General features: G+C 43.3%; 2 annotated features.

The window, feature by feature from the left end:
• Positions 1-50: a silencer, noted in NCBI's record as "silent region_7311". NCBI's record gives its function as "represses an Ori minimal core promoter by ATAC-STARR-seq in GM12878 lymphoblastoid cells {active_cell/tissue: GM12878}" and the evidence as "EXISTENCE:reporter gene assay evidence [ECO:0000049][PMID:35858748]".
• Positions 101-270: a silencer, noted in NCBI's record as "silent region_7312". NCBI's record gives its function as "represses an Ori minimal core promoter by ATAC-STARR-seq in GM12878 lymphoblastoid cells {active_cell/tissue: GM12878}" and the evidence as "EXISTENCE:reporter gene assay evidence [ECO:0000049][PMID:35858748]".

Below are 12,709 nucleotides of genomic sequence, written 5' to 3' on the forward strand. Positions count from 1 at the left end.
CGAGCAACGTAGAGCAGCACGTTGGTGGGCCACGGGTGGCGCCGGGCCGTGCGCGACAACGCCGGCCACCAGCCCGCCATGTCCGCGCTGTGGGCGCCCGCGATCAGGAGCCCGCGTGGTCGGAGGCTTCCTGCACCGCCTCCGGGCCTCGCCAGCCTCCAGCAGCTACTGCGCTGCAGCAGCCGGCACCTGCACCTGCCTCCTCCAGGAGCTCCTGAGCGGTTGGGCGCCCCGCGCACACCCAGCTCGTGCCGTCCAATCCGGAGGCCACGGGCCGTCGTGGGGGCTGAACGTTTGAAAGGTGCCCGGCCCACCCCCATGCATGGGTCCGTTGACACAAAATACCCAGAATAGGCAAAGCCACAGAGGCAGAAGGCATGGGGTTATTTATTTATTTATTTATTTTATTTTTATTAATTAATTAGATATTTTTGAGACGGAGTCTCGCTCTGTCGCCCAGGCTGGAGTGCAGTGGGGCGATCTGGGCTCACTGCAACCTCCGCCTCCCGGGTTCAAGCGATTCTCCTGCCTCAGCCTCCCGAGCAGCTGGGACTACACGCGTGCGCCATCACGCCCGACTAATTTTTGTATTTTTAGTGGAGACGGGGTTTCAATATGTTGGCCAGGCTGGTCTCGAGTGATCTGCCCGCCGCGGCCTCCCATATGGGGTTATTTTTTGGAGTGATGAAAACATTTTGAAATTAGATAGGTGTGATGGTTCCATGACTTTGTGAATATATTAAAAACCATTGAATTGTACACTTGAAAAAAGGAGGTGCATTTGGCCGGGTGCGGTGGCACATGCCTGTAATCCCAGCACTTTGAGAGAATTAGACAGGAGGATCCTTTGAGGGCAGGAGTTCCAGATTAGCCTGGACAAAATAGGAAGACCCCATCTCTACGAAAAAAAAAAGAAAAAGAAAAAGAAAAAAGTATTGTAATTACTCAGACTTGGTGGTGCGCACTGATAGTCTCAGCTACTGCTACTTGGGAGTCTGAGGTGGGAGGATCTCTTGAGCCCAGGAATTCAAGGTTGCAGTGAGCCACGATAGGGCCACTGCACTCCAGCCTGCAAAAAAAAAAAAAAAAAAAAAAAAAAAAAGAAAGAAAGAAAGAAAAAGAGAGAGAAAATAAAATGGTAAGTTTTATGGTATGTGAATTTATCTTAAAAAATGAAGGGACGGCCGGGCACGGTGGCTCACTCCTGTAATACCAGCACTTTGGGAGGCCAAGGCGGGCGGATCACGAGGTCAGGAGATCCAGACCATCCTGGCTAACACGGTGAAATCCCGTCTCTACTAAAAATACAAAAAATTAGCTGGGCGTGGTGGTGGGCACCTGTAGTCCCAGCTACTCGGGAGGCTGAGGCAGGAGAATGGCCTGAACCCAGGAGGTGGAGCTTGAAGTGAGCCAAGATCGCCCCACTGCACTCCACCCTGGCTGACAGAGGAAGACTCTTTCTCAAAAAAAGAAAAGAAAAGAAAAGAAATGCTAAGCAAAGTGTTCTGGTGTGTTTTGCCTGTTTTGGTAGTGGAAGGGAAGAAAATCTGTCTTTTTCTTTCTTCTCCCCCTTTAAACTATTTAAGAAGGGAACTGGGCACGGTGGCTCATGCCTGTAATCCCAACACTTTGGGAGGTCAAGGTGGGAGGATCACTTAGGTCCAGGAATTCAAGACCAGCCTGGGCCACATAGTAAGACCTCATCTCTACAAAAAAATAAAACATTAGGGCTGGGTGCCGTGGCTTACACCTGTAATCCCAGCACTGTGGCAGGCTGAGGGAGCTGGATCACCTTAGGTCAGGAGTTTAAGACGAGTCTGGCCAGCATGGCAAAACCCTGTCTCTACTAAATATACAAAAATTAGCTGGGCATGGTGGTGCGCACCTGTAATCCCAGCTACTCAGGAGGCTGAGGCAGGAGAATTGCTTGAACCGGGTAGGTAGAGGTTGCAGTGAGCCAAAATGGTGCCACTGCACTCCAGCTTGGGGGACAGAGCGAGACTCTGTCTCAAAATAAATAAATAAACATTATTTAAAAAAAAAAGATCCCCTGGGCATACAATAAGTAATACCATACTACTTAGGCAAATAAAGCCCAATTCTATCATTTGGGAATCTTAAGATCAGTTCTACCACTTTGTGGATCTTCAGACTCAATCTCTATTTTAGAGATATTAACATTGATTGATCCTACTATGTGCCAGGCACTGTCTTTCACAACTTCACATATATGATCTCATTTAATCCTCATTTAATTTTGGCAGAGAAAAGTTGAGCTCCTTACCCAGGATCGTATAACTAGGAAATAAAGACCAAAGCACATGCCTCACTCTTCTTGTTATTAGAAAAGATTTCCTTCTGTAAACCTCAGGACTTTACAAGCGAAATATTGGATTACTGTAATATGGTTCATCAGCCCAATTTATTTATTTTTATTATACTTTAAGTTCTAGGGTACATGTGCACAATGTGCAGGTTTGTTACATATGTATACATGTGCCACGTTGGTGTGCTGCACCCATGAACTCGTCATTTACATTAGGTATATCTCCTAATGCTATCTCTCCCGGCTTCCCCCACCCCATGACAAGCCCCAGGGTGTGATGTTCCCCACCCTGTGTCCAAGTGTTCTCATTGTTCAATTCCCACCTATGAGTGAGAACATGCGGTGTTTGATTTTCTGTCCTGGCGATAGTTTGCTCAGAATGATGGTTTCCAGCTTCATCCATGTTCCTACAAAGGACATGAACTCATCCATTTTTATGGCTGCATAGTATTCCATGGTGTATAATTGCCACGTTTTCTTAATCCAGTCTATCATTGATGGACATTTGGGTTGGTTCCAAGTCTTTGCTATTGTGAATAGTGCCGCAATAAACATATGTGTACATGTGTCTTTATAGCGGCATGATTTATAATCCTTTGGGTATATACCCAGCAATAGGATGGCTGGGTCAAATGGTATTTCTAGTTCTAGATCCTTGAGGAGTCGCCACACTGTCTTCCACAATGGTTGAACTAGTTTACAGTCCCACCAACAGTGTAAAAGTGTTCCTATTTCTCCACATCCTCTCCAGCACCTGTTGTTTCCTGACTTTTTAATGATCGCCATTCTAACTGGCATGAAATGATATCTCATTGTGGTTTTGATTTGCATTTCTCTGATGGCCAGTGATGATGAGCATTTTTTCATGTGTCTGTTGGCTGCATAAATGTCTTCTTTTGAGAAGTGTCTGTTCATATCCTTCGCCCACTTTTTGATGGGGTTGTTTGATTTTTTTCTTGTAAATTTGTTTAAGTTCTTTGTAGATTCTGGATATTAGCCCTTTGTCAGATGGGTAGATTATAAAAGTTTTCTCCCATTCTGTACGTTGCCTGTTCACTCTGATGGTAGTTTCTTTTGCTATGCAGCTCTTTAGTTTAATTAGATCCCATTTGTCAGTTTTGGCTTCTGTTGCCATTGCTTTTGGTGTTTTAGACATGAAGTCCTTGCCCATGCCTATGTCCTGAATGGTATTGCCTAGGTTTTCTTCTAGGGTTTTTATGGTTTTAGGTCTAACATTTAAGTCTTTAATCCATCTTGAATTAATTTTTGTATAAGATGTAAGGAAGGGATCCAGTTTCAGCTTTCTACATATGGCTAGCCAGTTTTCCCAGCACCATTTATTAAATAGGGAATCCTTTCCCCATTTCTTGTTTTTGTCAGGTTTGTCAAAGATCAGATAGTTGTAGATGTGTGGTATTATTTCTGAGGGCTCTGTTCTGTTCCATTGGTCTATATGTCTGTTTTGGTACCAGTACCATGCTGTTTTGGTTACTGTAGCCTTGTAGTATAGTTTGAAGTCAGGTAGCATGATGCCTCCAGCTTTGTTCTTTGGGCTTAGGATTGTCTTGGCAATGTGGGCTCTTTTTTGGTTCCATATGAACATTAAAGTAGTCTTTTGCAACTCTCATCAGCCCAGTTTAATATTACCTATTTATTATAATGTAATGCTGCTCGCACAACTGAGAAAACACTGTTGCTTTACCCCCTCTGGCTCTGTAGCAGCCACGCACAAATCATAGAACTATAAACATATGCTAATTACACAACCTATGTAGGCAATCAATATTAAGAAAAATTTTTACTGCCCAATATTTCTGTGGTTGAAAATGTACAGTCTAATTTTGATCCGCAGTAACATCTAGGTTAATGTTGATTCAGAAGGAAAACATTTGTTGTTGCCATGAGAAGAGGCATTGAAACGCTGAATCACCACCACAAATGTTACCACTATTAATATAAGGAGATACATAGGAAGATCGAATTAGACCATCTCGGACAACCAGGTTTACAATTCCACCTGCAGATACATGCAAGAAGTATTGTCACAATACTTATGTCACATTATTCCATTGAGGTCATCACCAACTAAGCTTATCATTAATGTGTGGTCAATTTGGTCAATGTCACCAGCGTAGCATACTAACAAAAACAAGGGTTGCAAACTCAAATGCCTATAAGGCAGAACGTAAGACGGTAGGAAGCAAAGTCTATAGGGAGCTATATAATAGAGGCTGCAGATTCATGGCAGATTCTAAAGCACAGCAGTCCCCAACATTTTTGGCGCCAGGGACCGGCTTTGTGGAAGACAATTTTTCCACAGGCGGCAAGGGATGGGGCGCAGGATGGTAATGGTCTTGGGATGAAACTGTTCCACCACAAATCATCAGGAATTAGATTCTCATAAGGAATATGCAACCTGGATCCCTCGTGTGTGCAACTCACAACAGGGTTCATGCTCCTGTAAGAATCTAATGATGCTGCTGATCTGACAGGAGGCAGAGCTCAGGCAGCAATGCAAGCAATGGGGAGCGGCCAGAAATACAGACGAAGCTTCAATTGTTACCCACCATTCACCTCCTGTTCTGTGGCCCAGTTCCTAACAGGCCACAGACCAGTACATGTCCATGGCCCAGGGGTCAGGGACCCCTGCTGTGGCACATTGCTTAATAGAGGACTGTAGCAGCCATGTGCCCTGACTTTTCCTTTTTTTTTTTTTTTTTTGAGATGCCAGAAACCTAGAATTTTTTTTTTTTTTTTTTTTTTTAAGACAAGGTCTGGCTCTGTTGCCCAGGTTGGAGTGTAGAAGGGCGATCTCAGCTCACTGTGACCTCAACCTCCCAGGCTCAAGCAATCCTCTCACTTCAGCCTCCCACGTTGCTGGGATTACAGGCACACTCCACTACACCCAGCTAATTTTTTTGTATTATTTGTAGACATGGGGTTTCGCCACATTGCCCAGGCTAGTCTGGAATTCCTGAGCTCAAGCTGTCTGCCCATCTCAGCCTCCCAAAGTGCTGGGATTGCAGGAGTGCACCACCACACCTGGCCTGAAACCCAGATTTTATTTATTTATTTATTCATTTTTTGAGATGGAGTCTTGCTCTATTGCCTAAGCTTGAGTGCAGTGGCGTGATCTTGGCTCACTGCAACCTCCACCTCCCTGGTTCAAGTGATTCTCCTGCCTCAGCTTCCTGAGTAGCTGGGATTACAGGCACATGCCACCATGCCTGGCTGATTTTTGTATTTTTAGTAGAGACAGAGTTTCATCATGTTGGCCAGGCTGGTCTCGAACTCCTGACCTCAGGTGATCCACCCACCTTAACCTCCCAAAGTGCTGGGATTACAGGCATGCAACACCACACCCAGCCTGAAACCCAGATTTTTAATATGAAATCGAAGTCTTCAAACCTTGTAGGTGTCATAAAAAGCACGCTGAGGACCACTAGTTTGCAACTGCCAATCTAAAGTATCATAGACATTATATCACTTTAACCATGAAAAAAAAAGTATGTGAGGCAGAAAATGGAAGCAACCATGCCCAATTTATTGTTGAATACTTTTTACGTATACTAAGAGCTTCCTTTGCACTAGCATCTGAAACTATATTCAGAATGACATTGGTTTTCATAAAAGTATTGATCCTCACAACTCTTTATAGTCTTGCACCTAGCACAGCGGAGTGAAACACTTTAAATGGCACTTGTTCCTTGAGTATATATGGAAAAAAGTGAAGTATTGATAAGTGTTCAGCTAATATGAGCAGCATCTCAGGAGTCTCCAATTCTTGAATTACCAGGGAGTATTTTTACCATTTTCCCCCAGTGAAAGGCCTATTTTGAGAGACTTACCCTCCAAAATGAATGCATTAAGTCATATTACTTTTTTTTTTTTCTTTTTGAGACAGGGCCTTGCTCTGTTGCCCAGGCTGGAGTGCAGTGGCATGATAGTTACAGGAAAGGGGTCCCAATCCAGACCCCAAGAGAGGGTTCTTGGATCTTGCACAAGAAAGAATTCAGGGTGATCCCGCAATGTGAATTGAAAGCAAGTTTATTAAGAAAGTAAAGGAGGAGGGGCACGGTGGCTCACGCCTGTAATCCCAGCACTTTGGGAGGCCGAGACAGGTGGATCATGAGGTCAGGAGATCAAGACCATCCTGGTTAACACGGTGAAACCCTGTCTCTACTAAAAATACAAAAAAATTAGCCAAGTGTGGTGGTGGGCGCCTGTAGTCCCAGCTACTCTGGAGGCTGAGGCAGGAGAATGGCGTGAACCCGGGAGGCGAAGCTTGCAGTAAGCCGAGATCATGCCAGTGCACTCCAGCCTGGGTGACAGCGGGAGACTCCATCTCAAAAAAAAAAAAAAAAAAAAAGAAAAAGAAAGTAAAGGAATAAAAGAATGGCTACTCCATAGACAGAGCAGCCATGAGGGCTGCTGGTTGCCCATTTTTATGGTTATTTCTTGATGATATGCTAAACAAGGGGTGGATTTTTCATGCCTCCTCTTTTTAGACCATATAGGATAACTTCTTGATGTTGCCATGGCATTTGTAAACTGTCATGGTGCTGGTAGGAGTGTAGCAGGGAGGATGATGGGAGGTCACTCTTGTCACTATTTTGGTTTTGGTGGGTTTTGGCCAGCTCCTTCACTGCAACCTGTTTTATCAGCAAGGTCTTTATGACTGGTATTTTGTGCTGACCTTCTATGTCATCCTGTGACTTAGAATGCCTTAACCATTAGGGAATGCAGCCCAGTAGTTTCAGCCTCATTTTTCCCAGCTCCTATTTAAGATGGAGTTGCTCTGGTTCACATGCCTCTGACATGATCACTGCTCACTGCAGCCTCCACCTCCTGGGTTCAAGAGATACTCCTGCCTCACCCTCCCAAGGTGCTGGGACTACAGGTGTGTGCCACCACGCTCAGCTAATTTTTGTATTTTTTGTAGAGACGGGGTTTTTCCATGTTGCCCAGGCTGGTCTCAAACTCCTGGGCTCAAGCAATCCTTCTGTCTCAGCCTCCCCAAGTACTGGGATTACAGGCATGTCCCACCATGCCCAGACTAATATTTACTTTTAATCAGACTAAGATAGGGTTACTACTTGAGTTGCTATGGCTCCAGCTGAAAGCCTGTGCAGTCATATCATGGGTAAACATTTGCTTTATGCTAAAAATATGGTGGACCTGGCATTACAGCTATTACAAATCTCCTAAGGTGTCTCAGGTAGTGTATTAGTTACTTTTCATACTGCTATGAAGAAATACTCGAGACTGGGTAATTTATAAAGGAAAAGAGGTTTAATGTACTCACAGTTCCACAAGGCTGGGGAGGCCTCAGAATCATGGTGGAAGGCAAAGAAGGAGCAAAGGTACGTCTTACATGGCTGCAGGAAAGAGAGCACGTGCAGGGAAACTGCCCTTTATAAAACCATCAGATTTAGTGAGATGTATTCACTATCACAAGAACAGTATGGGAAAAACCTGCCCCCATGATTTGATTACCTCCTACCAGGTCCCTCCCACGACACATGGGGATTATGGGAACTACAATTCAAGATGAAATTTGGGTGGGGACGCAGCCAAACCATATCGGGTAGCAACAACCTAGGGTCAGTTTTGCAGGTGGTAAAGCCATTTACCAAGATAGTTGTAGGTAAAGAAGGGCAGATTTATTAGAGAAATTATGAAAATATGTTGCAGTGGGCAGCTCAGCAGAGAAGGGGCTACCTGCAAAGAGGCAGGGGCTGGAGGAAAGTTTTATAGGGTCCTGCTGAAGGGTGCTACGTGTGGAATGAGGTCATTGTGCCCGCAGGTTGTTTGTGATTAGCTGTCTCTAACAATTGTTCATACAGTAATTGTTCATTATTGTTCTCAACTTGGGGCTCTCCCCAACCTGGGGACCCTTCCTTATTGTTGCTTACTTATCAGGACTCCACATAAGGGTGTGGAAACTTCATTCATTCATATCTTCAACACAAATTGTAGGTAGCCTGTTTTTTAAAAAATTTATTCAACAAATATTTAGTCCAAGCCACTGTTACTTATTACCCTCTCTACTTCTGTATGGACTTTTAACTATCTCTGACACTATTCACTATTCTTCCACATTCTCTATTATTTATACCTATGGTAAAATTTGCCAGTTTGACCATGCAACTAATACTCACAGGGAATATATAGAGTCTAGAAGAAAATATACAGGTCCTTAGAGGCTGCTCTGCCAACAAAACCATAATGCAGGAACAAACATCACAACTATGCCAAATAATCAATCCTACAATGTCCAAAATTTTACTTTAAAACTGGAATTTCCAGACTTCCTTTCTGCATTAACCAGTTTAACTAGATAGTAATGAAATATCCCTCTACTTTATGCTGTGATAGTTTATTTATTTATTTGAGACAGAGTTTCGCTCTTGTTGCCCAGGCTGGAGTGCAATGGCGCGATCTCAGCTCACCACAACCTCCGCCTCCCAGGTTCAAGTGATTCTCCTGCCTCAGCCTCCTGAGTAGCTGGGATTACAGGCATGTACCACCACGCCCAGCTAAGTTTGTATTTTTAGTAGAGACGGGAGTTTCTCCATGTTGGTCAGGCTGGTCTAGAACCCCTGAACACAGGTGATACCCCTGCCTCAGCCTCCAAATGTGCTGGGATTACAGGCATGAGCCACCGTGCCTGGCCAGAAAATTTTAAACACACAAACTCTCAGGTGGCCTAATTCCCTCTCACCAAACCAGTCAAAATACAGACAAAAGAGAATAACTATATTAGTTATTGTACAAACAAAAAAGACTGATAAATTGTGAATGATGCATGATTTTTAATTACAAGTAAACTGGGCAAATGCTTCTGCATTGTTTAAAGCTAAAAGGTGATCAGTGGAAACTTTCCTCTGTTAGTACTCTAATACTTTTTATATTTATCGGCTCACTACAACCTGTGCCTACCAGGTTCAAGCGATTCTCCTGTCTCAGCCACCTGAGTAGCCGAGACCACAGGCATGCACTACCATGCCCGGCTAATTTTGTATTTTTAATAGAGACAGGGTTTCACCGTGTTGGCCATGCTGGTCTTGAACTCCTGACCTCAACCGATCCACCTGCCTTGGCCTCCCAAAGTTTTGGGATTACAAGCGTGAGCTACCGCGCCCAGCCTTATTATAATTATTATTTAAATATCTTTTGCTCTCTCCTTCAAGAGAGACCTCATCTCATTCAGTGGCATCCATTTATTTATTCATCTTCTGCCTCCTGGGCTCGAGAGATCCTCCTGCATGAGTCTCCCAAGTAGCTGGGACTACAGGCTCACACCACCATGCTTGGCTAATTTTTGTAGGTTTTGGAGAGACAGGCTCTTGCCATGTTGCCTAGGCTGGTCTCAAACTCCTGGGCTCAGATGATCCACCTGCCTTCGCCTCTCAAAGCACTGGGATTATAGACATGAGCCACCACGCCCAGCCCCAAGTACTTTTACACAAAATGCAAACACTATTCTTCTATCATAAAAGTGATACCACAGCTTCTGTGAAGTTTTGCCAGGTAGTACTCATAATTACCTTGGGTAAACTTTTTGATGTTAAACTGTATCTTCTTATTATGAGTTTTTCCATTGTATTAACAACTTTTACAACAACGCAAATAACAAGTTATTTAACAAACCATTTAGAAATTTCTGTACTATGGTCCTGATAATGTAAAATATATTAATGCCTATTACATTCAGATAAATTATACACTTGGAAACTACATACTTATGACTTACAGAAACTTACATAAACAAATTATACAAATTATATGCTCAATTTTTAGGTATATAGTCTTAAATTAAGCTTAAATATACATTCTCAAGATAAATTAACAGTTCAGGGCTTCATAACTTGAAATCTGTGGAAGATGACATTGGAGACAACAGAACTCTGGTGGAATTCTTAGGTGGGATTTGCTGAAACTTTTTTTTTTTTTTTGAGACGGAGTCTCGCTCTGTTGCCCAGGCTGGAGTGCAGTGGCGCAATCTCAGCTCACTGCAAGCTCCGCCTCCCGGGTTCACGCCATTCTTCTGCCTCAGCCTCCTGAGTAGCTGGGACTACAGGTGCCCACCACCACGCCTGGCTAATTTTTTGTATTTTTAGTAGAGATGGGGTTTTACCATGTTAGCCAGGATGGTCTCGATCTCCTGACCTTGTGATCCGCCCACCTTAGCCTCCCAAAGTGAAACTTTTCTTTAAAATAGAGATGGGATCTTGCTGTATTGCCCAGGCTCATCTCAAACTCCTTGCCTTAAGTGGTCCTCCCACCTCAGCCTCCCAAAGTGCTGGGATTACAAGCGTGAACCATTACATCCAAGTGAAACTTCTTGAGATAGTTACATAATTTTTAAATCTGCTGGTGTAGAATTTAATAAAGTGTAGAACTGAATAAATATTAAATATTAGATCAAATTTCTCATGTTTACCTTAAAGTATAAAGATTTATCTTAAAGCACTGATTTTCACAAAATAACATCAGTGTGAAATTGGAAAAGAAGCCAAATATTTTATTTCATGTATCTGGGAAATGAGGGGCTTTAGTCAACTGAATCTGCCCAAAACTAAAAAGCATTCATTAAAAAGTACTTAACTCAGAAATTATAAAAATAGAAGACATCAATAAAATACATTCTACACAGAATACGCCAATCATAGACTACTCTTTTTTGATAATAAAAAACGTACTTACTGAGCCAGTTGTGGTGGCTCATGCCTATAATCCCAGCACCTTGGAAGGCCAATGAGAGTGGATCAGTTGAGGCCAGGAGTTTGAGACCAGCCTGGCCAACATGGCGAAACGCCGTCTCTACTAAGAATACAAAAATGAGCCGGGCATGGTGGCAATCACCTGTAATCCCAGGTACTTTGAAGGATGAGGCAGGATAATTGTTTGAACTCAGGAGGTGGAGATTGCAGTGAGTCGAAATCATGCCACTGCACTCCATCCTGGGTGACAGAGTGAGTCTCTGTCTCAAAAAAAAAAAAAAAAGAAAAAAAAAGAAAAAAAGTCAGTTGCAGTGGCTCACGCCTGTAATCCCAGCACTTTGGGAGGCCGAGGCAGGCAGATTACAAGGTCAGGAGATCAAGGCCATCCTGGCCAACATGGTGAAACCTCTCTACTAAAAATGCAAAAATTAGGCTGGGCGCGGTGGCTCACATCTGTAATCCCAGCACTTTGGGAGGCGGAGGTGGTCAGGAGATTGAGACCATCCTGGCTAACACAGTGAAACCCCGTCTCTACTAAAAATACAAAAAATTAGCTGGGCGTGGTGGCAGGCGCCTGTAGTCCCAGCTACTTGGGAGGCTGAGGCAGGAGAATGGCATGAACCCGGGAGGCAGAGCTTGCAGTGAGCCGAGATCCCACCACTGCACTCCAGCTTAGGCGACAGAGCCAGACTGTGTCTCAAAAACAGGAAAGAAAACAAAAGAAAATTTGGACTATTGCCAATTACAAATATTTTTAGAGAAGATTCGAAACAATAACTGTGGATGATGGAAACAATAGTTATGATAAAAGTCTGATGAAACTTCCCAGTTCACAAGGAAATTTAATTACTTATGTGCGGCATTTTAAGACAGTAATCAGAATCATGACTGACAGCATCATATCAGGACCACCAGACTTTTATAAATTTCATGTAATCTTCAGAAATAATTAATAACTTTTTTTTTTAGATAGATTTTACCTCTGTCACCCAGGCGGGAGTGCAGTGGCATGATCTCGACTCACTGCAACCTCCGCCTCCTGGGTTCAAGCAATTCTCCTGTCTCAGCCTCCCAAGTAGCTGAGACTACAGACATGTGCCACTAGGCATGGCTAATTTTTGTATTTTTAGTGGAGACAGGGTTTCACCCTATTAGTCAGGCTGGTCTCGAACTCCTGACCTCAGGTGATCCACCTGCCTTTGTCTCCCAAAGTGCTGGGATTACAGGCATGAGTGATGGTGCCCAGCCATTCATGACATGTTTATACAAATATAACTTTAGCAAATATTTAGCATAACTATCAAAATTACAAATAATAACATCTTAAATTTGTATAAATGTGTGTAATTTTTGGAACACGTATATCAACAACATACCCATAAATATAACTGAGATGAGATCTAATGTCACCTCACTTGACAGTGCCCTCCCATGCAGTATCACCACATTTGACAATGCCTGCCCATTTAATCTACCAAATAAATCGAATCACTTAATACCTCTACAAGATGAGAGATACATTCTTTAGACTCCCCAAGGGACACAGCTGAAAAATCCCAAAGTTAATTTTAGGCCAAAAAGACTTGATTTAGGATTTTGACACTGGAAAAACCCATCAAAGACGTCAAGTTTGAAAACACTTGATCAAAACAGAATC

This window comes from Homo sapiens, chromosome 16 (assembly GCF_000001405.40).
Source record: "Homo sapiens chromosome 16, GRCh38.p14 Primary Assembly".
Taxonomy (NCBI): domain Eukaryota; kingdom Metazoa; phylum Chordata; class Mammalia; order Primates; family Hominidae; genus Homo; species Homo sapiens.